The sequence below is a fragment of the Homo sapiens genome, chromosome 2 (genome assembly GCF_000001405.40).
Source record: "Homo sapiens chromosome 2, GRCh38.p14 Primary Assembly".
Lineage (NCBI taxonomy): Eukaryota > Metazoa > Chordata > Mammalia > Primates > Hominidae > Homo > Homo sapiens.
The window spans coordinates 148496684-148519491 of record NC_000002.12 but is presented as its reverse complement, the minus strand read 5'-3'; the positions used below and the strand labels follow the sequence as shown (position 1 = coordinate 148519491).

Below are 22808 nucleotides of genomic sequence, written 5' to 3'. Positions count from 1 at the left end.
TCTGTGTACAGGGACCTGTGCTGGAGGAAGGGGCTATTGGCTGGCCTCAGGATCGTAGGATTGGGTGCCTGTTATTGCACTGCCTCTGTTTGTTTTTTAAAAAATAGATAATTAACTTTAAAAAGCCCTCAAGTTCACTGTTATATTGAGTGTAGGAGGTGACTAAGGGCGGCTGGGGATACTCTGAAGAGCATGTACATAATCACAGGCTGGAGTGGATGATGAAAGGCCACCGTGGTCTCCCCTGCTGTGTGGCAGAGATCCCGGTAGCCAGATGGCCCTGTTTTGGGCGCTGACCACCTGTGGTCCTGATTTCCTTTGCTTTCATAATCCTCAGGGCTCACCTGGTACCTCTGGCATCCTGAGTTTTCCACTGCAGCTTCCTGTGTCCTGGGGGAGGCGTGTAAGAAACCAAAGGTCCATACCTGACCTGCACTTACCTGTGCGCTCTGCTTGGCGGGCCTTGCTTCCTACCATGTTAGCAAAACGTCCTAGGATTTTAAATGTTCCTGACTTTTAATCACCGAAGTAGGAACATTATTGCTTTCCCATTTGTGTAGAAGAAGTAGGGAATAATGTTGGCAGTAAGTGTAAGTGTACTGGAGAACATTTCTTCATGACTACTAACATGAATTTACATATATATATTTACATTGACCTCAAGACTGAGAAGGAAATTGCTTATATGAAGAATTTTGCTGGGTCTGAATTGTTATTTTAATTGTCAAGGAAGGATGTGCTTTTTGCAATGCTGTGCTGAAATGAGATATATGTATTGTGTGCTTTTCAGTCTTACCCCTCTCCAATTGTCCATTCTTAACACTGCAGCCAGAATAAATATTTCTAAAACACAAACCTGATCCTATCACCCCCTCCTTAAAAACCAACAATAATTCCCCATTACTGCCATGTTAAGGGCAAAATCTTGAGAAGACTTGCCTTGGCCTCCGCGGCTCTGCAGCCATTCTTCTCTCCTGCTTCTTCTGACCTTCAAGCCTTTCCATGTGCCATTCTCTCTGCCTCAAACACACTGTCCTTCACCCTCCCTGATGCCACACATTCTTCCTTTGCCTATTTTCTATTCATCTTTCTCTGATCCTTGTTCAAACCCCCATCCCTATTAAACGAAGTCAGTAGCCCTGACATGTGCTCCCCTATCCCTTATCATCCTTTCTTTTACTTACATGTTTGGCCATCTCCTTCGTTAGCTCTGTAAGGGCAGAGAATGGGCTTGTCTTATTCGTCATTGTATCCCCACGGCTACGCACAGACTGTGCACACACATAGTGGCACTCAGTAAGAATGTATTCAATGAATAAATATATCCATGATACCACCAAGCTCTAAGGAACTGCTTCTGTCAGAACTTATAAGAGGATTGCACAAACACTGACACCTGAACTAGGCTGCTGTAGAAAGCTGTTAAAATATATACATAACATGCTCCCCTTAGCCCAGTTCCTCATTTCGGCCTAATGGAGGCAGCTACACTATCATCTGGAAGTCTTCCATTACCTGAAGCTCCTTGTATAACGCAAAGAGAACTATCAGTTTTCTTGCAAACTCTGAGCCATGAGCATTTAGGTATCTCTACTAAACTACTATTTGAGCGTCCTCAAAACATGATCATCCCGGGTCTTAGGATCGAAAGTGTCAAAGGTGTTCAAAGTAAATCTGACATTAGTGTATTTACTCCTTTATCCACAGACTGAGAAGCACTCATTTGGTATGGATTTTGGCTGCTTCTAGGAATCAGGTTCCTGTTGATTATTGCATGCAAATATGCCCATATTTCACACAGACATAATAAGCCTAACTGATTCCATCAAGGCAGTGGTTTTCAAATCTCATTTTGCCCTCCCTCCCCTATCCCACCTCCATCTCTCACCCTGGGAGTAATGTCTGGAGTTATTTTCGATTGTCACAATTTAGGAGGAGGCTCTACTGGCATCTAGTGAGTAGAGGCCACGGATGCTGCCAAATATCCAATAATGCATGGGCCAGCCTCCAGAACAAAAAATGACCTGGCCCAAAACATCAACAGTACCTAAGCTGGGAAGCCTAGGTTGCCCAAGTCAATAGCCCAAGGATGAGGCAACACTCTGTAGCCACCTTTGCTCACAAAAGCTAGACCCTATTCATCTGTGTGGTGCTTTCTAAGACACATGGAAACAAAGACAAGAATAAGTTAAGAAGCAGTAAGAGGCTGGGCTTTTCCCCTGCCTAATGTTAGAATGAAACATGTGTAGCTTGTCTCTCAAAAAGAATAATTCAGTTGGAGAGTTTTCCTAGGTAGATCCCTGTCGTGGATCAATTAATCTCCTAGGAAATCTCATAATGCAAAACATTCGGCATGGAACTGAACAGATTCTTGGGTGTGGAAAGGAATTTTGGTAAAATCAAAACCATATTTGTTTTTCATATTGAAAATGTTCAAGTTGTTTTCTTTTCCTATTAGTATAACCATTTGGACAAAAATATCCATTTGAAATGCAGGTGAAATGTAAACTGCTACACTTCTACATAGACAATCCAGTGTATTTATACTTAATCCATAAAGGCATGATGTTACAAAACACATTTGTATATTATGAAGCCATCTGGCATCAAATTTTCCAATTTATAGACAACTTTGTATTTACATAACAAATTATTAAATCAACCATTTTTCCGGTTTATAAAAGGTCACTGAGGTACACACACAGTGTGTATAAATGCAGATAAGGCTGGTAATACATATTTACAGTAGATACAAATTAATCTTTCATATTTGAAGATAATGCTTTTTATATATTTTTTCTATATCAGACTCCCCACTGTTAGCAGGATTTCCCATGCTCGAGTTGTTTATTGCTTTTTGGCTCACTGATTTAATATTCACTTCTGGGTTGTTTACACATATGAATTACTAATGTTCTTATCTCTTTGGCTAATGCAAATGTGATAGAGTGAATGAAAGAAAAAGATGAACTAATTAAATATTACAGTTCTGGCTGGTTGATAATTTTTGTTCATGTCCCCCAAATGAATCAATGCACAACTCATTTGATATACTACATTGAAAAGTCTTGAGTCTTGCATTACACCATTCGGGCATAAATGGGCAAAGTAAATAAGATATCCAATTTTCAGCAAGGTCTAGTATTTTGTCTTTCTTTTCAGAAAGAGCAATGCCACCAACATCTTAAGCATCTTAGATTTTAAAATCTTAATGCATATATGCTTGTGACTTGCAAGGGAACACTGCAAACTGCATGGAAGATTACCAAAGTTAACAACAATGTGCTATCATGGTCTAAAATGAAACATGAGTCACCTCGTAGGATATAAGAATCTTCCTAAAACTTACAGAAAGTGAAATAACTAACTGCCCTTTTCTCTTCCTGCAATTCTGCAGTGTTACGTTCAAATAAGAAGGCTGTGTTTACTTAAAAAACAGGCATAGCAAAAACTCAAAGTCAGGGTCCAAATAAAAGACTAAAAGTGGCCCATGATATCACAAGGGATGAATGTTCTTAAAACATTTTCATTCATAATGGCACTGAAAAGTACAAGCCAAAAATGTTCCTTTAAATAAATAAAAACCCTGGTTTGCTTTTAATGCTACAAACAAGACAAATCACACAAAAGCTGCTCAGTTAATTTTCACTCATTTGAAATAATTTTTAAAACCTTCTTAGAGGTTTAGTTTATTCTCCTTGTGCTTCCTAGGACTGTTAAGGGACACAAAATAAAATTAGATTTCCTTTTCCAGCAGGAACTATTATGTTCTTTAAAGAAGAAAAAATTTTTCATCTGTTTCCATTCTTGGATTTGTTTCTTAAAAAGTTTATTTTAGGGAATAAAAATTTTGGTAACATAGAAGGCCTAGCCTTCATTTAAAAAAATGAATTGGCTTCAATACAAAGACAAAGAAATGGCTCTATGGGCAAAATTGAAGTGCGAGTGACCAATTTTTTAATTGTAAAGTAGGTGCAACATTTAAAAAAATGTTACAGCACTGTATGACCTGTAATGCTAACAATATTTACATTAACTGCTTACACAAAACCATATAACTCTAAGAGAGATGAAAAAAACCCACGTGGACTGAAACTACTACACCTAGCACCCATATCAAAGCCATAGCAACCAGTGAAATCATGGGCACAAACATACTTTACATGGTCTACTTATGTAAAGTATACAATGGGAGGGAAGCACAAACTGAATTAGCTCAAAATACCAAAAAGAAGGCTTGGTCAACACAAACTCAGCCTGAAGACAGAAAAGCAAAGGCTAAAAAATTTACATATCAACACATACACACATACAGACACACCCAGCATACAAACACACATGTCTGTCTGTCTGTGAATAAACAAAAATGTGTAGGAAAAAACAGTAGAAAAACAGGTTGGTGCAAAAAAAATGGACATTAATGGTTTAAACATACTAGCCACATCAACTTTTAACTTATAAACATGTGTCAACTAAACTACACAAAAGATTACTTCATGTGACTGCATGAAGGAACTGGGCAGGCAATCCCACCATTACAAGAGAGACAAAATGAACCTACCCCCAGAACGAAGGGTTCCTACTTTGAGGTCATGAAGCCCAGGGTAGCCAGTTGCATTCCATCAGGCTTGGGGGTAGGTTGAAAGTAGGAACAGAGGGACAGAGAGACACAGGAGACCTAGGGGAATAACTAAGAGCTGTTGCTATCAAAAGTGAGCCCAGGTGGCATGCTCTGTGCTGTGGCCCCAAGAAACCAACTTAAGGAATGACCTTGGTCTCCATTTTCCTGAGTTACTGGAACTCTGCTACATGACAGGACTGAGGAGTTTGGGTGGTGGGTGGGAGAGGAGCAGTAGGAGAGGTGGTGGGCAGTTTGAGGTGCTGAGCCTGCTATTGGAGAATCTCCTAGCAGCCTGAGTGGCAGACTGTTGTGTGAGCCCCAGGCTAGAGGACGAGGCAGTGCTCTCTAGGGGTTTAAGGGTTTGGGGCAGGGACTGGTGGTTCCAAGAATAAAGGGATAATAGATCCCTTCTTTTGACAATCCATCAACTGAAGTCAGGCTGGAAGCCTAAACTTTGCTTAACTGCCTGGAAGATAGGGTAATACCACCACCACAAAAATTGTGAGAAGAAGACGGAAAATTATGTTGTGCTACATTTCTTATTAATTACCTTGTACTTTACAATGGCTCACAGTTTTAGGTTTGTATACTTGTAATGTAGTATTTTCTCTCTACATTTGTTTCACATTTTTTCTTACTTAATATAATATAAATAATTTGGTTAATAGATTTAACCTGCACATTTTTGCCACATTAATATATATAAGAATCTGTTAATGGTATAAATAATTCTTTAAATAAAATAAATCTGATATGTTACACAATACTGATAAAAAAATTACCATTGCTAATAATTCCGTAAGCCACCTTAACTTCTGGGTTAAGTAATACTGATGAATGGATATGAAACTTGCTTTGATGATTCATATTTATATTTGCCACTACAAAAAAATGAATTATTATCAATCTTACCTCTGATAATGGTTGCAAAGTGGGGTTTTTGCCTCCATGTACGGAAATAGAAAGTTTTACCTTGTCAGATATCATTTGCAAAAAAACCCTCAATTCTGAGCACCAGCGGTGGTGCAGTCAGTATAAGCTATCTGCTTCAACAGGTGGCTATCAAATGTTAACTACAGAAATGGCTGAGTAAAATATTCCATCTAAGATTTTTTTTTATAAAACCTATTCTATTTTAAAACTTAGGTAAAAAAAATATGCAACAAATGGTTGCAGTTTCTGAATTCTTAATTTAGACCTGTGAGCCCTCATCCCTTTAGAAATCTGCAAAGTTGCAATTTCCTAGACACCCGAAATTGAGTCCAGTGCTTCCAGGCAAGGTTCATTCCAAACAGACAATATAAATGGACACTCAGTGGTGTGCAGTGTATGTCATAATTCAGATATTACATCATCATGCCTTTTCTCTGCTGTTAAATACAAAAACAGCATCTTTTACATTATCATAGAAAAGCATTTAGGTTGTATTTTTATTTATCACTTTACACTGGTAGTCTCTGGTAGGTGTACTCCATAGAAACCAAAGAATTTTGTACACTATTTCTTTGTACAATAAAAGATAAAGTGTGCATTAGGTACGCTTGTACATGACAATACTGTACAATATTTACATTTCTGATATCACCATGAAATTCTGTATTTTCTATATACAACATTGAAAATTCTTCAGAAACATTTGGACTATTTCTTATAATCACAATTTAGTATTATAGAAAAAGAGTTTCTCAGTAATCTCTTGACCATTGATCACTCTCATCACACAGAGACTTTGATTGGCTTTTCCAGCATTCATTATCCTTCCTGATCAAAAAAATTTTGTATCACTGTTTCTTTTAGCACCCTGTGGTGGTGGTAGCTATCTGCCATAGTCTAAATATTGATATAACTGTGGCTATATCAATACCTATATACAGATACATCTGTGCATGTTCCTTTAATAAACACTGCGCATTAGTGGAGTAGTCTCTGTTATCTGGAGATCTTCCTCCTCTTGGGTTTGGGGGGTCTCATTTGTCTGTCACCCTGTGGGATTTGGTGTACCTGGAAATAAAAAGGTAGAAAAAAAACAACAACAACAGAGGATGAAATCACAAACACCATAAAATTTCTGACAAAGGAGCAGGGTAGGGAATAGACTCTGGCTTTCACTTTCAATTACTGATATCCTGAGGCACTTCAAATGTTTACCAAGACCCCAGATGTCAGTGTGCCCACAGTCACTACAGAGAATGCAGAATGCTAGAAACTGATAAGCAGTGCAACACTCTGCGGGTGCCAATAGACAGTGGAAAACAAAGGATGAACTGGACAAAATCAAGTATGGGAAATGCAATGTGCAGTTGTTACCCCCATTGTCCATTTAAAACAAAAATAAAGCCTTCCCTGTCAGAGACCCTAGATCACCAATTTCACTACAGCCTGGAAGAATGAATAATTACACACCAAACATGCCCCTTTTTTTCCCTCACTTTGTTACCCTACTTATTTTACAATGACTAGGAAGGGTCACAAATTATAATAACATGCACACATAGCTCAGCCCAAGGATGTTTGTTCATAAGAAGAATCAAAATGGAAAAGAGAATACCACTATCATCTGTTGGCAGATCTGAAATTGTGTAGTCTGGGAGGAGCAGTTAATACAACTCACCTTTCTTTATGTGCTAATGCAGGAACTAGCAACATTTAGTGCTGTTCATCAGATTGAGCAGTGGCTGAGCAGCATTAGATAGCAGGTATAATTTGGAGGAGGGAGTGATCAAATTGTCTTGTAGCTATTGGTGGAAAGGAGCAAGGTCCAAGACCTAGGAGAGGAGGGATGAACCCAAGGCAATGGTGTAGCAAATGCTTAATCAGCATTTCGACACAAGTCCATTTTAGCATTTTGCCAGTTTCTGTGGTGTAAAACTTTTACCCTGGCCAACCTTATGTCACAGGACTTAGAATTAGGAAGAGATGAGTACAATCGCCTCTCCGGATCCACTACAAGTTGGCTCAATTACATGCTTAAAAATAATGTTTAGACAGCAGCAAAGGGCAATGCTATCCAGACTCAAATGCAGAATGCTTTTAAAAAATAATATTTAAAAATTTTAAATAATGTTTATGGGTTTTTCAATCTGCCTATTCCTCCTAATCTTCTCCATACACATTTTTTAAAACAACTATTCTGTAGTAAAGAGCCAAAACTTTTTATAACTGAGGAAAGAAACTTTTTATAACTGAGACTGCAAACTAGTAATCTGTGGACCAAATGTGGCTGAAATGGTATTTTGTTTAGCCATATGGCACTTTAATATTTTTTAAAACAGTTGTCAACCCATAAAAATGAGAAAATTTACTTCTAGACTTCTAGTTTTATATGAAAAATGGAAAGATCTTGCAACATGAACACAATTTCCCAGATGTCTAAGATCTGCTGGAGCATGGAAGGAATGCCTTCTGGAGAGAGCACATGACTCCCAGGTTGCCCTGATCCTTATTACTCTCAACTACCTGATTTCCACCAGGACCAAATGTCCCGAGGCAGAGCCTAGAGAGATGATGGCCAAACTCATTTTCTCTTTTTCCTGGGCAGGCACATTCTATGTTCTATTTCCTATTCTACTTGAGTTAAGAAGGCCATATGATTAGGTCAGGTCAGTGGAAAGTCAACAGAATGAGCTTCCAGGTCTGGCTCATAAAACCTATGCTGGCAGTATTCTTAGCACGCTCTTTTCTTTTACCTTCAAGGCAAAATGCAAAGGATATAATGGAGCACTCTGAGGTCCTAAGAGAGGTGGTCACTAGATACAGAAAGAATCTGTGCCCTGGTGTGGAGCAACCCTTCCTCAACCAGCACCAGACTCAAGTGGGTAATGGCTTATACTGTGCTGAGCCTCTAGATTGGTAGCCTACCCTAACCCATGGATCTTCACTGGCATTTCTCATCCATTCCAACTGCTGTCATACCTGGCCCACTTTACTTACTGATATAATTTGCCTGGCCCTAGAAAACATTTGAGTTTATAATCCCCAATCTAGATCTTTCCTATAATTTTATCAGGAAATTTAATGTCTCAGGGCTTCAATTCACCCATCTGCGAAATGATGGTTTGGTTGGATTACAAAATCTCTAAAACCTATACTAATCCCATCATTCAATTGTCATTGGATGGTTTGTTGGGATTCAGATAACCTTGTAACATAAGGTCAAATAAAAGAAATTATTTTTCATGCTAAATAGCCTTAGACAATTCACATTTTTAACAGATTACCAAAATTATATTTTAAGTATTTACATCAGTCAATATGTGAACTGGAGCATAACGATTAAACTTCTCACACTCAATGCTATTATATGCACAGTTCAATAAAAATGGGATATGAGAGGTCTATATACTCTTGATCTTGACCCCACTGTCTTTTTGGTTCAATGGACAGAACAAAGTTTGCATTACTACATATATAAGCAACAGTAATGGCCATGGCCATTCACAGAGTCAAGTGCAGAAAGCTGTGGTTTGAACTTCAATATTTTGCTGCTCATATTTTAAACGAACGTTATGTGGCAAAACAAAATTACTTATCTCAGGAAGAAAGACATAGTTAATGTGGTAGGTTTCTTTTTCTTAAATGACTTTGAATCTTTTCTAATATTTGTCTTTTTTTTCTAGGCTAGTAATTTAGTATTGCTATGTGAGTTGTTTGACAATACTCAAGAGACTTTACCAAAAAGTGTAACACAATTTATTTTCAAAGAAACGTAGTATAATGGAAAAATAAATTAACTTACAGTCCCAGACATTTTGTCCAGTTCACTCATGGCCTCATGAATAGCAGCTTCTAAATGGTTATTTAGCTTTCCACTTCTGGAATTAATGAAAACAACACACCAGATTAAAAAATTAAAGAAACAAAACTCAATTTAATTTCCTAATCAGAAAACAAAAGTACCAATTCCACGAGAGAAAGCCAATTTATACTCGCGTTTGGAAAATTCAGATGACAAAACATCACTCTGGGATTCTTATCACTGAATACTAATGATTAAAGTCACAGAACTACTAAAAAAAGTTGAACAGATTGTGGGGCGGGGAGATGGACTTTTTCCTCTTCCACATGCTTCTTCCACAATCTGGTGATTTGGGAAGAAAGTTGGGCCACGGGTTCCCTCTCCCAGAGACGCCCCTCATGCTCCCTGGCTCCAGCCGGCCCTGTGTTGCTTCTTGTTTCTTTCTCAGTCAGCCTGACTGTGTGATCAGAGGAAGGGCGGAGGGGCTGAACTGCAGGCTCTGGCCACTAGGGAGCTCCCTCTGTCCTCTCTGGAGCGTCCTGGCTCTGGAGTTGAGCAAGTGAAGGCTGAAATGCCGGTGCGTGTTCCGGGGTGGGAAACAGCTTAACTCTGACGCACCTGAGGCTCCGGAGCCTGCCCCCCAGGGCCAAAAGCCAAAATGAGGTAACTATTTGAACAGATAAAGAATGACGGCCTCAGGGTGCCTATCACTTCTCTGACCTTTTCTCTCCACTTAGCATTCCATTACACATGTTTGGCCCGAATAACACACACGGTGCATCTGCCATTTTTGAAGCTTAGATCTATGAAGCTGTTGAACTAAAATCAGGTAAATCCATGCTACCCACCTCTGTGGTTATGTACACTTTGCCCATCCTGACTGTTAACTTGTTTTTCCTCCTTTATGCAATAAATAATTACTCATTTTTTCCAAGTGCTAAGGTGATTCTTTTCATTTACCCTGTCATGACAATTACTAGAAAAGCTGCTGGAGGTAACGTTTTCATAACAGGTGGTTAGCATGGGTTTCCATGAGTTAAGTCCTATCTTAGCATCTACCATGGAGACTGGAAATTTGCAGTCGTGGGAGAGTTTGGCTTACTGTTGTATTTAGTTTGGTTAGCATAGTGTTTTGAAACATTTTTGAACTTTAGTTCAGTTTACCATAGCTTTCCCTAGGTTTTTTCCTCACACACCAGGACTGGACAATGCATACATTGAGTTTCTGTCTACACTTTGAGAACTCCGAGTTTTCCACCCCTGAGTTCTATAGTGCTAGACATACCATAGATGCTCTATGTATTTGCTAAATAAAAATATTTGTCAAAGGTGGCCCAGATGGTCCTATGTTTCAAAAAATATATACGTACTTAGGTCAGTTTAACTGAAGGGAAAAATTAGTGTATTGGTTTTAACCAAATTATAAGGGGAATATGGCATCAACCCCTACCTTTTGCTGCCCTGTAAGCTAGTCTTTAGCTTTTATATTTTTGTCATTTATTTTTAGAAATTTTAAAATGCAGAGGAGTACATAGGATAAAATAAACCTAATATATTCCCCCGCTGGAAGGAAATGTTAATAAATTCCTTTAAGTCTTTTATATTAAAAAAATAAAGCTGGAGTTCCCTGTTACCTATCCTGGTCCCATTTTCCCTCACCTTCCCCCCTCAACTTTTAGTCTGCTTTTATACTTTAATCTAGTATTGTTTTATGTGTGTTTTTTTTTAAACACACACACAAAAGGTGTCATGATATACATACTTCTCTTTTTTCTCCTTATAACTGTTTTAAATACCATCTAGTTTGTATAATCTATTCATTCCTTCTAACTGGTATATAAGAAGTTTTTTTATTATGTATGTACTGTCTTCCTTTTACCTACCCATTCCAGTTTCAAGGGGCCCTGGTCATCTCATGGAGTCAGTCTCAGTTGTTTTCCTAATGAGGTGTCTGCCAAGCAAGCTCCTGGGAGCACTCTGCAAGGCCACCTAGGGTTTGCTGAGGCTGGGCTGGGGCCCCTTTTGCAGGCTGCTTGGCAAGGGTTCTGACAGTATTATCATTGCCACGTTGCCTGACAATATCGCACTGTGTGTAATGTGTTAAATAAATTTATCCTCACTATTTCTTTTGTATGAACATAAGTTTGACGTATTAACAAGTTTTATAAGACATTTATTTATTATAAATTTTGATTAAAATATCTTAGGAGTTTAAAATTGACTATATAAAGTTCCAAATATTTAAAATGAAGTTACAATGTTTTAATGAAAAACCTCCAGAGAACCTTGGTTCTCTCACATTTAATCTTAGTAAAAGAAATACCTGTTATTTATTAAAAAATGTCTATGTGCCAAGAATTTTTTTTTTTTTTTTTTGAGACGGAGTCTTGCTCTGTCGCCCAGGCTGGAGTGCAGTGGCGCAGTCTCGGCTCACTGCAAGCTCCGCCTCCCGGGTTCACGCCATTCTCCTGTCTCAGCCCCCTCGAGTAGCTGGGACTACAGGCACCCGCCACCGCGCCCGGCTAATTTTTTGTATTTTTAGTAGAGACGGGGTTTCACCGTGTTAGCCAGGATGGTCTCGATCTCCTGACCTCGTGATCTGCCCGCCTCGGCCTCCCAAAGTGCTGGGATTACAGGCGTGAGCCACCGCGCCCGGCCCAAGTATTGTATTAAAACTCTATATACATTATCTCATTTAATCCTTACAATAATTTGATGGAATAGGTATTATGACAACTGTTTGTATGTGATACTTCATGACTTTTTAAGAATTGGTGAAATTAATTCTAATTTTGTAATGAAGAAAATGGATATTTGACTATAGTTTTCAAAAGTGATAGTCATGGGTAAAAGATTTTTACCTAACCATGAAAAATTGCAATAACAATTACCATTCAAGCACAAAAACGATTCAGCATTACTTGTTGGAAAAAACAATTTCATGAGTTTTGTCATCTCATTCTTCAAGATATTTAAAATATTTGTAAACACCTTGCATTAATTCAAGCTAAATTAGTATAATGTTTCACCTTTAACACAACTTAGTAGTTAATAGAGGGAGAAATGACTACTTTTGGAAGAGAAAATAAATACATAGATGTGGGGCATGAAATTATTTGTATATATCATGAGATTTGAGAGGTAAAGAGAGACTCTCCCAGATGTCATATCTGCAGACCAGCTACTGGTCAGGTCAGGGAAGAATGAACTTAAAAGAGGAAGAAAAAGCTCTATGAATTCAAGAAATGAACAATTAGTCAAAATTCAGTCTTTCAGTCCAGAGGGCCTCCCTGTGGAGTTTCTTCTACTATTTTCTATTCCCTGCTGACATTTAATAATAAACATTTTTACTAATGGACACTCTAAAACCTACTTGATTAAGTAATAGATGTTCATATAATCACATTTCTAATTATTAATGGAGATAATTGCCACTTCTCAACTTCATTGCCTACACTGTCACACATTATCTTTATCTTCACTAATTTTTTAAAAAGCCAGGTACACCTCTATGAGTAGTACAAGAAATAGAAGGGAAATGAGAAATTGCAAGTTGTTCTACACTGTCAGTTCAGAGTTTAAGTGACTCACTTCATACAGTATGTAACAAATTTGGGTGAGACCTAAAAGTCAAAAACCCTGAGCTCTGAAACTGAATCCATGGGGAATGTATGCAGATCTCAGGAAATTTAACATGGTAAGTATCATTCCTTGGTTTTAAAGTGAAAATGTGATTTACTTAATCACTTTATTGTTTTCCAGCTTCACAAAAAATCAGGTTTCCCAAGAAATGTATACGTACATATAGACAGAAGATTTGCTCCTCGCTTAAATGAAAACTATAACATATGTAAAAGCTGTGGAATTTTTCTTTAATAAAGCTATTTCTGCTTTTAAGTACAAAATTGCCCTAAGTAATGTATTAAATAAATATGTTACTACTAGGATATAATTAGAACATATGTTTAAAGATATTTATTTGTTGTACAGTTTGATTGAGGATACTGAGGATTAAAATGACTATATAAAATACCAAACATCTAATATGGTGGTAGAATGTTTCAACTGGCAAAAATAACAGATAATTTTCTTTCTTTCACCTGTATCTTTATAAGAAAAATAGCTATTTACTAAATGCCATGTGCCAAGTACTGTGCTGAGGCTCTCTCTATATTATCTATGTTATAACAATCCTAAAATAGGATTATGCCCATTTTAGAAATGAAGAATTTAGGCCCAGGGAGATTACGAACACACAGCTATGAAGTGGTAGAAACAGGACTTGAGTCCAGGTGAAAAACCAACCTCTTAATTATCTTGCTCCAAATGACACCTTCCTTTTTCAGCCTTTTCCTCTTTTCTTCTTCCCCTCAGTCTACAAAAGTAGTCAAATCTTTGTCATTTTAAAAATTCTTTCTTCGTTATTTTTCAGGAATTTTTCACATTATGGGTAGAAAGAAGAGTAAATAATCTACATCTCCTCTCCCTATTTCCTTATTCTTATTTAATAGCCATTTTGTGTGTATACCCATCACTCTACTGGAAACTGTTCTCACTGAAGTTTACCAGTGACCTTCAAATTGCCCAATCTGATGGGGATTTTTCAGTTCTTGTCTTACTGCACCTCTGTTGATCATTTTATCAGTCTTTGACTTCTGAGACTCTGTCTACTTTCCCTGATTCTCCTCCTCCTCACTGACCATTCTTCCCATCTTCTTCATTCTATTGCATGTTCAATCCTTAGCCTACTATTCTTCAAATTGGTCAAAGTATCTTTGTGTGACTGCAGTCATTTGTATACTGTCAAATACCACTTCTCCCCAGTTTCAGACACGTATGTCCAGCCTATCCTACAGGCACCCCAAACTGTACTGAACAGCTTCCCCCTGTAACCTCCACTTCAGTCAGTGTTTCTACAACCTACCAAGTCTCCCAAGCTGAAAACCTGAGAGCTGTCCTTGATTTTGTTCCCTTTCCTTTACATTCTGATCAATCACCCCATGTTCTGTCTATTTTACCTCCTAAGTATTTCTTGACCACATTCCTTCTTTTCCATCCTCATCCCCAACTCCACCAGCTCCTGGTTTGGGTCCTCGTTCTCCCTTGTATTCTGCCATGGCTCCTGAACAATCTCTTCATCTTCAATATTGTTGCCTTAAAATTGTCCTTGTACACGGCCATACCTAAGGTGAAAAATCTGACCACCTGCCCCCTTTAGGCACTTCCAAAACAATAAAACATCCTATTGGTCCTTACTAGGCCCTTCATGATCTGGTTCCCGCTTATACCTCTTATATCTTCCCATCCGATACTTTACAGTCCCCCAAATCCAACTGCTGCTCTCATCTAAACACTATCCCACCCCATCTTCGTCTTTGTTTCCTTTGTGTGGCTGATGCCTATGTAGTGTTTAAGGCTTGGCCCACATATCTTCTCCTCTAGGAACCCTTCCTTTACCTGCCTTTTCCCTGTGACCCAAAAATATAGTATATATATTGCTGTTGTTGCAATTTTGACATTTGAATTACTTGTTTCTGCATCTGTCTCTTTCACTAAACAGTGAGCTTCAGGGACTGTAGCACTGTTCCTGGCACAGATTTTTTTTGCTAAATTTGTCTTCTTAAATTGGGAATAAATGCATAAATTAAAAAATGATTTGGTTCAACATATAATTTATCAGTTGTGGGACTTTCAACTAATTATTTAAAGTGTTTGAGTCTGAGTGTCCGCATCTGCAAATGGCTCAGTAATTTTGACCCATCTCGTGACTGGGAGAATAAAATGATGAATTTGCAATTACATGTGCAAAATGTAAAGCATTCTACTGGGCATCGAAAAGGAAAGTCTGTCTGCTTAGACAATAGTATGGTAAATAAAGTTCTTTTTATAAATGTTAGTTTTGTATTTTCTACTTTTACTTCTCCAAACTGTACTTTAAGTTTATGGTTATCATGAGGAGAATTCCTTTAGATAGCTCTCACATTAATTTACTACAAATAGGAAATTGGCTTTGAAGAAACATTTTTAAAATTGTAGTTTGTTTTTCATTACCTTTCAGAAATTGCTTAATAGCAAATACATGGGGAAAATACAGCTCATTTCAAGGCAGTGTATTTGAATATTTGGAGGAGTTATTTTATTTCTGTTATTAACTTTATTTTGTACATAATCCAAGTAACTGGCATGTTTCACTGTAGGAAACATTTTCAGGGCTCCTTTACACCAAAGAAATGGGTACTGTTGAATAGTTTACAGCAACTGGCCCACTGCAAATTTGTGGTGTAGGTAATTTGCAATTTTCCTTCTTTTATCCAGACCTTGTATTAATTTTAGTGGCCTTATCTTGTTGCTAAGCTCTGCATAGCAAGTGTGCTTCAGTAAGAGTAGAAGGGACCTTGATCCCTGTTTTCCTTATCAGGTCTAGAGGGATGTTATCCGGCAATTAACTTGGCCTTTCACACAGCCAGTACCAATTTGCTACCTTTTAAAGGAGTCCGGGACATAGAGACATAGGAGTTTGCCCCTTGCAGCTGTCATCTTTTCAGATACCTTTTATTGAGGTGAAGAGTCTTCCTAAGATTTGTTGACTTCTAAAATTATGCCTCTGGCCAGAATTATGGGAAACACCATAAAGTGAAAGAGAATGCTTTTTAATAGATATTACTGATATCATTATATAAGCCTTCTATGCAAGATACACTACGAATCATTCTGATCTCCACTTTGTAAGTCTTGATGTACAAACAGAAGTTAAAATGGTATTTTTAGAAAGACGACAATACATATACACATTAAGCCTATGTGTCAATATTTGGGGGGAAATGTGAGGATCATTTTGCAAATGAATAAAAATTAACTAATATATAATTTTTGGTTGCTTGATAATGCAGAAATTAGTATGGCAACTGAACAGGCATATCAATTACATATGTTTAAATAGCTATGTACATATAGAGAAGCACATTTGTAGTTTTCTACCTTAATATGAAATAATAGTTATGATACATAAACATACATTGTATCACAGTAAAAACTATGTTTCTAATATTATCTGCTTGTCCGTACTACATTTACTCAGAAAATAAAGATTTAGAAAAACTTGAATAATACTGGCCTGAAATTCAACTTCTTGTTGTAATTCCAAAGAAAACTTACTTTTAAGTCCACATCCCTGATGCAACAAAAAAAATCTTTATTTAGCATCACTTTGACTAGTAATCTGCCAAAATTATTTACATGTGTACAACGAGGGGTATTTACTCCCCAAAGTATTTGAATTGCAAATGGATTGATTCACTACACTTCCAGAGCCTATTTAATTGCTATATGTTGAGAATATTAATTATATTTTATTTTCCACTAAATGAGAGGAATGAAGATGCAGGGAATGAAGAAAGAACAGATGAAGAGGCAAATATTACACATAGTGTAAACATAAAATGTTAAGAGGATATTTTCCATAATCACTAATTTGGCTTGTCTATAATGGTCCTCTTTGGTGGTAACAAACTTCACTTAGGCAGGCCACAGCGTGGACAGAATCAGTGAGATTTCATTGTCCCTTTGATGGAAAAACAGTAAATTATATCCTGGAAAAACAAAGTAAAATTTTGGAAAAGTGCTTACTTTCTGTTCCTTTTCCGGACACGGCTGTAGGCTTCCAAACCTTCTGTTAGTGTCTTCAACTTCTCGGGCTCCACCTGAGTGAAGGTATGAAGACCAAACCACATTACCCAGACCTGTAATTGTTAAACACGGTTTTTACTTTCCTGCCGTACAAGCAGGTGCTGCACTGGCGGGGAGGGGAGCCTTAACCTTCACTACCTTGTCAAATCTTCTGTCCTCACTCAATCATTAGAGGTTGATTCTGTGGCTCCAGGCTGCAGCATCAGTGGAAGTGAAAAGCTGTTTGGCTTTAAAATTGTCAACATTTTGAAAATAATATTTTGGGAATAAAATCTGGAATTTAAACAACCTTCAATTCACAAAATCATAAAAATCAGAGATCCTGGTTCACTTTCTTAGCAACTGCAAATCTGTAGTATCAGACTACTGTGATATAAGTATCAGGGGAAGACAAGAGAGGTAGTTAGTGAAGTGGGTGGGCCTTGGGCCAACAGATCAAAGTTTGAATCCTACTTTTCACTTCCTAGTAGGAGTAAAACACATTTTCTGAGCCTCAGTCTCCTCTGTAAAATGAGGACAATAATACCTACCTTCCTGCTAGAACTGCTGTGAAAATTAAAATGTGACAAGTCTTGTTGAACACTTATCCTAGCATACAGTAATGATCATGACCTAGTACACATTTGGCTCTGCAGAGGCCATAAAACGTGAGAAGAGGGTGTTGCTATGCCTTGTGGGTGTGTCCTTTGTCTTGTCTTGCTTTATCACTGCCAGTCTGTGTGTGGTCAGCTATGTCAACAGAGGTCAGCCACCAAGTGTGGTGGGGGGATATGTGTGTGTGTGGAGGGTGCAACCTTTGCTGCACACTCCTGAGAATCTCTATCATGGTTCTTGAAGCCACCTCCCCACAATAAAAACAATAATTAGGAAAACTTGTATGTGACTTGGGAATAAAAGCACTTTTAGAAAAACATGGCTATTTTTATTCTGTAAACACACACACACACAATCTAAGTAAAAATAGTGTTGTTTGGTATGTAAGCATAGTTTCAAGGCAAGTAACTCAGCTATTCAGTTGGGGCAAAAGCCAGCCACTTTACTCCCATTTCTCCTCCAACCCCTGCTACTCCCCTCCAATCCACTGTTACATAAAAATACAGAGTTAAACAAAATGCCTCATGGGTAAGAAAATAAACACTAATAAGCAAGGAAATGATTATCAACTTTTGTCTTTGTGTCCCCAACATTGACTCATGAATGTCCTTTAGAAATAACTTCTCTATGACCCCTTCAAATCTAGAACACAGTTATGATTAACAAGAAGTTTTCATTATTAAGTCTGAAAACAAGCATTTCTAATATTCAATGAGAAAAACAGTCAAATATGGAAATGTTTGTTTTCCTTTTCATGTTTTTGTATTTTGCCCAAACAAATGTCTTATACACACAAGCTCATACATACCCAACTCACTGTGTGCCAGCACAAGAGACAACTTTGTTCCAATAACACTTCACATAAAGAAAAGTGTCCTATTGGGTTACTGGGACCACTGGAAAAGCTAAAGTGAGCTAAATGTATCCATGTGTTGTTTAAAAAAAAAGATGCCTGGAAGCACTTTCATATTTCATGTTAGAAATGAGCCTCCATCTTGTATTCACTCACATGAAGGGGATATGAAAGATGCTTTGCATATTTCATTTTTGTAATCAATAAATGATTCCACTTATATTTAAATAAGCTTCTTGGCAGCAGGAAAGGAGCTGTGCTATATAACATAAACTTCTATTAGACTTAAACTGGTGTAGCGAGGGACCTCAGAAGGGGTTGATCAGGTCACAGAATCAGAGTCACAGTGAAACAAAGCAAGACACAGCAATTAAAACTTACCCCATTGGTCTTAATTTAAAAAACAAAGTTAGGTCGAACTATTTTTTTAAGTCTTCAATTTTTATTTTTAATTAATTATGGACTAAGGGACAGTAAAAACATTTCTTGTGCATTTATTATGTAAAAGGCACTGTTTTATCATTTAATATGATACTACTGCAAACTAGTATTACTTTTATGTTATTACAGATGGGACTCGGTGCATTTAAATAACGTGACCAGAACTGAAACTCAGGTCTGACTCCAAAGTGCTCAACTTCTCTCCACCATACCAACTCCAATATACATTGAAATGTAGTCATTTTATATATATATAGCATTTATATATATAAAATTACACACACATATATAAAATACACACACACAGGCACACTCAAAAATTTAGGTCAAACTATTTAAAATTATATTTCTACAAAATTTAGATGACAACTTGCCCAAATTTATATTCAATTTTTTTATGCTTGAATAATTTTCCAGGGATATTTTTTCTGAACTAATACTCTGCCATGGTTTCTTCATTTAAATCTGCCTCTAAGCCTCTAACATACTCTTATAATGAACTATATTATTTATAAAGGATTAAATGACCTCGAAAAAGAAAGCAAATATAGTCCTGAAACTAAATGTAAGTAAGATATATATCACTGTGCATTTCTGCTATAACAAGATCATACATATTCAGAAGAAAGTTTAGTTTGTTTCAGGATTTTAGCACTTTACTGTGTTGTGAAATATATATGAAGAGTGTGTGTTTTTTCTGGGGAAATATTCATACATTTGAAAAATATTCAAGAAACTTTAAAGATACCCCCGCCCAAAATGGTATCAGAGAACAACAAAATAAATTCAATTTCTAGTTAAATAGAAATCATGTTTAATGAACACTCCCTTGTAAATTACTTAGCTAACTTGTAAATTTTAAAAAGGACCAGGAAATCAAATACATAAATGTAACATTAAAAAGGTTAAACACACACAAATATTTTTATAAAACTTACACTAAAGGAGCAACTAATTTAAGATAATACTTTTATCTATAATTATAATCTTGTATTCTTGTACGATCACAAGCCAGGAGTTTCATGAATTATTTAACTCTATCTTAGTGAGAATTTAGGAGAGGGCTTTATCATTTATCTTTACTCATCATCTACCCACACAGTTTCATGCTGATAGCAATGATGCTAATAGTACTGGCCATCATGGTGTAACTCTTTACTCATGTCATTTAAGAATCATAAAGCTACCTGGAATTTATATGTATTCATAGTTTACTTATTCATGTATAAATATACACATATGTTAAATGTTAATTTTTTTTAACAGGGTCTTGCTCTGTTGGCCAGGCTAGAATGCAGTGGCGTGACCTTGGCTCACTGCAGCCTCGACCTCCTGGGCTTCAAGTAATCTTCCCACCTCAGTCTCCTTAGTAGCTGGGACCACAGCTGTGTGCCACAATGCCCAGCTAATTTTTTTATTTTTTATTTTTTTGTAGAAACAGGGTTCTCATTATATTGCCCAAGCTGATCTCAAACTCCTGGGCTCAAGCGATCTGCTTGCCGTAGCCTCCAAAAGTGCTAGGATTAAAGGCATGAGCCACCGTGCCCTACCAATACTTTTTGACTATTAAAAACTCTTCTTTCATTCAAATTGTTTGGATATAATAATTCTTCAACATAAATAGTTTTATAGTTTGTTCAGTGCGGATAGAAACATATTCATAAAGCCAGACATTACTATGTGGTAGATGATTAAGAGTTTTTCTGAACAAGGCTGAATCTCTGGTTGCTTATTTGCTTATTTTGTTCAGAAGGCCCATATTACACATTTGATAATTTAACTAAGTTTTTGATTTGGTGTCAGCACAGTGGGACCTCATGTATCTCAGAAGAAACTTAAAGTCTGACAAAAGAAGACATAACCTTTCAGAGAGCCAAACCAACCCTCGAAAGAGAGGTATAATACATATTTGAAGAACCTGGATCTGACTGGGGATGGTGGCTCACGCCTGTAATCCCAGCACTTTGGGAGGTCGAGGCGGGTGGATCATGAGGTCAGGAGTTCCAGACCAGCCTGGCCAACATGGTAAAACTCTGTCTTTACTAAAAATACAAAAAATAGCTGGGCATGGTGGCAGGCATCTGTAATCCCAGCTACTCAGGAGGCTGAGGCAGGAGAATTGTTTGAACATGGGAGGCTGGAGGTTGCAGTGAGCCGAGAGACTCCATCTCAAAAACAAAACAAAAACCAAACAAACAAAAACGAAGAACCTGGATCAATGATCCTAGATCACTTTTAAATAGAGCTGGTTAACCGGAGATGATGTTAAAATTTTCTGCAGGCTTTAATCTTGATAACACCTCTCTGTGTGAATTCTTTGGTGCTCCTTATTGCTGAAGCAGAGCTGTTGTGCAAACGTCAAAGAATAATGGAGCACTAGCCACATCATCGATCTTATAACAGAGTTGACCTCAAGCTCACCTTTTCAGTCTTTACTTCCCCATTCCATTTCTACAAAGTCCTGTTGTTGGGGAATGGCATAATGTAAGGAGTGCTACATATAGAATAGAAGACCAGGGTTGCGACCTGGCTTAACTACCTGTGATTTGTATTCTTTGGGATGCCACTTCTCTGAGCTTCAGTTCTCCCATCTGTAAAATGGGGATAATTCTGCACATCTTTGTGGGTCACTGAAAGGATCTAAAATGACCACGAACATGAAGGTGCTTTATGAACACCAAAGCAGTCAAAGGGCCACTGGTGGTATGTAAAATTATTTAGGTAAAACATGGACAAACCTTTAAATATTCTTTTTTAGTTTTTTTTTTTTTTTTTAGAGACAAGGTCTCCACTCTGTCACCCAGGCTGGAGTGCAGTGGTGTGATCATAGCTCATTGTAACCTTGAATTCCAGAACTCAAGTGATCCTCCCACCTCAGTCTTCCAAGTAGCTAGAATTATAGGGGTGCACCACCATGCCTGGCATGCTCACTGCAGCCTTGACCTCATGGGCTCAAGTGATCATCCTACCTTAGCCTCCCAAGTAGCTGGGACCACAGGTGCACAGCATCATGCTCGCTAATTTTTAACAATTTTTTGTAGAGATAGGGTTTCATTATGTTGCCCATGCTAGTCTTGAACTCCTGGCCTCAAGTGATCCTCTGACCCCAGACTCCCAAAGCACTGGGATCATAGGTGTGAGCCACTGTGCCTGGCCTCCTTTGCATATTTTTAATAGTTATATTATTCATATAAGTTTACATTAGAAAAATACAAGTAATATTATGATTTTACATATACAATATCCTAGGATAAAACTTAAGTTGTTTAAATCTAAAAAGTGGCTTGAATAGTGCCTAGTACATTTGTGCCTAATAAATATTTATTGAATGAATCAATTAAGTGATAAATTTAAAGAAAAAATTTAAGTAAATAATAATATATGTAATATGCAGCTTTAGCTGAAGTCTGGGAAATATAGCTCTGAAGTAGAAAGCAAATATGAGGCATTTATTAGGTTCATTATCAAACATTTATTAAATAGTAAATATTAAAAATAATATATATGTTTTTAAAATAACATCTTCAAACTGAAAAAATTTCTGCTAACTTAAGTGCAATATTTCAATATTTTTTAAAGACTGGGAATTAATATTAAATGATAAATAATTTAGAGTAAAAAGTTGATTCACCTGTGACAGGATGAACCTAATTGTTTTCCAACAATAGTACAATAGTTCTCATGGCAGAGTACTAATCATTCCTTTAAATGAATCCCAATTTTTTTCAAATGAACTAACCAAATTCTCTTTATCACAATTTAGTGGCATTATCTGAGGCCTTTTTCGGTGCTTCCTTTCTTCTTCACTTTGGATAGCAGTGTTTTTAAGCACTGGGGAAGTACATTACAGGACGGGGGTAAATCCATTCTAAATGTGA

General features: G+C 37.2%; 1 protein-coding gene across 31 annotated transcripts in view; it reads right to left on the bottom strand.

The window, feature by feature from the left end:
* MBD5 (methyl-CpG binding domain protein 5) overlaps nucleotides 2521-22808 on the bottom strand; it is a 496045-nt gene continuing 475757 nt past the window's right edge. For 19 of the 31 annotated variants that reach the window (XM_047445056.1, XM_011511472.3, XM_047445068.1 and 16 more), the window contains 3 exons: nucleotides 16983-17095; nucleotides 9357-9432; nucleotides 2521-6622 (listed from right to left, as the gene is read on the bottom strand). In XM_047445056.1, the coding sequence (XP_047301012.1) occupies nucleotides 6551-6622; nucleotides 9357-9432; nucleotides 16983-17095 (261 nt within the window). In that variant the 3' untranslated portion in view covers nucleotides 2521-6550. Of the gene's footprint in view, nucleotides 6623-9353; nucleotides 9433-13661; nucleotides 13732-16982; nucleotides 17096-22808 lie in introns of those variants that run through there. The other 12 variants (NM_018328.5, NM_001438862.1, NM_001438856.1 and 9 more) reach the window with 3 other exon arrangements.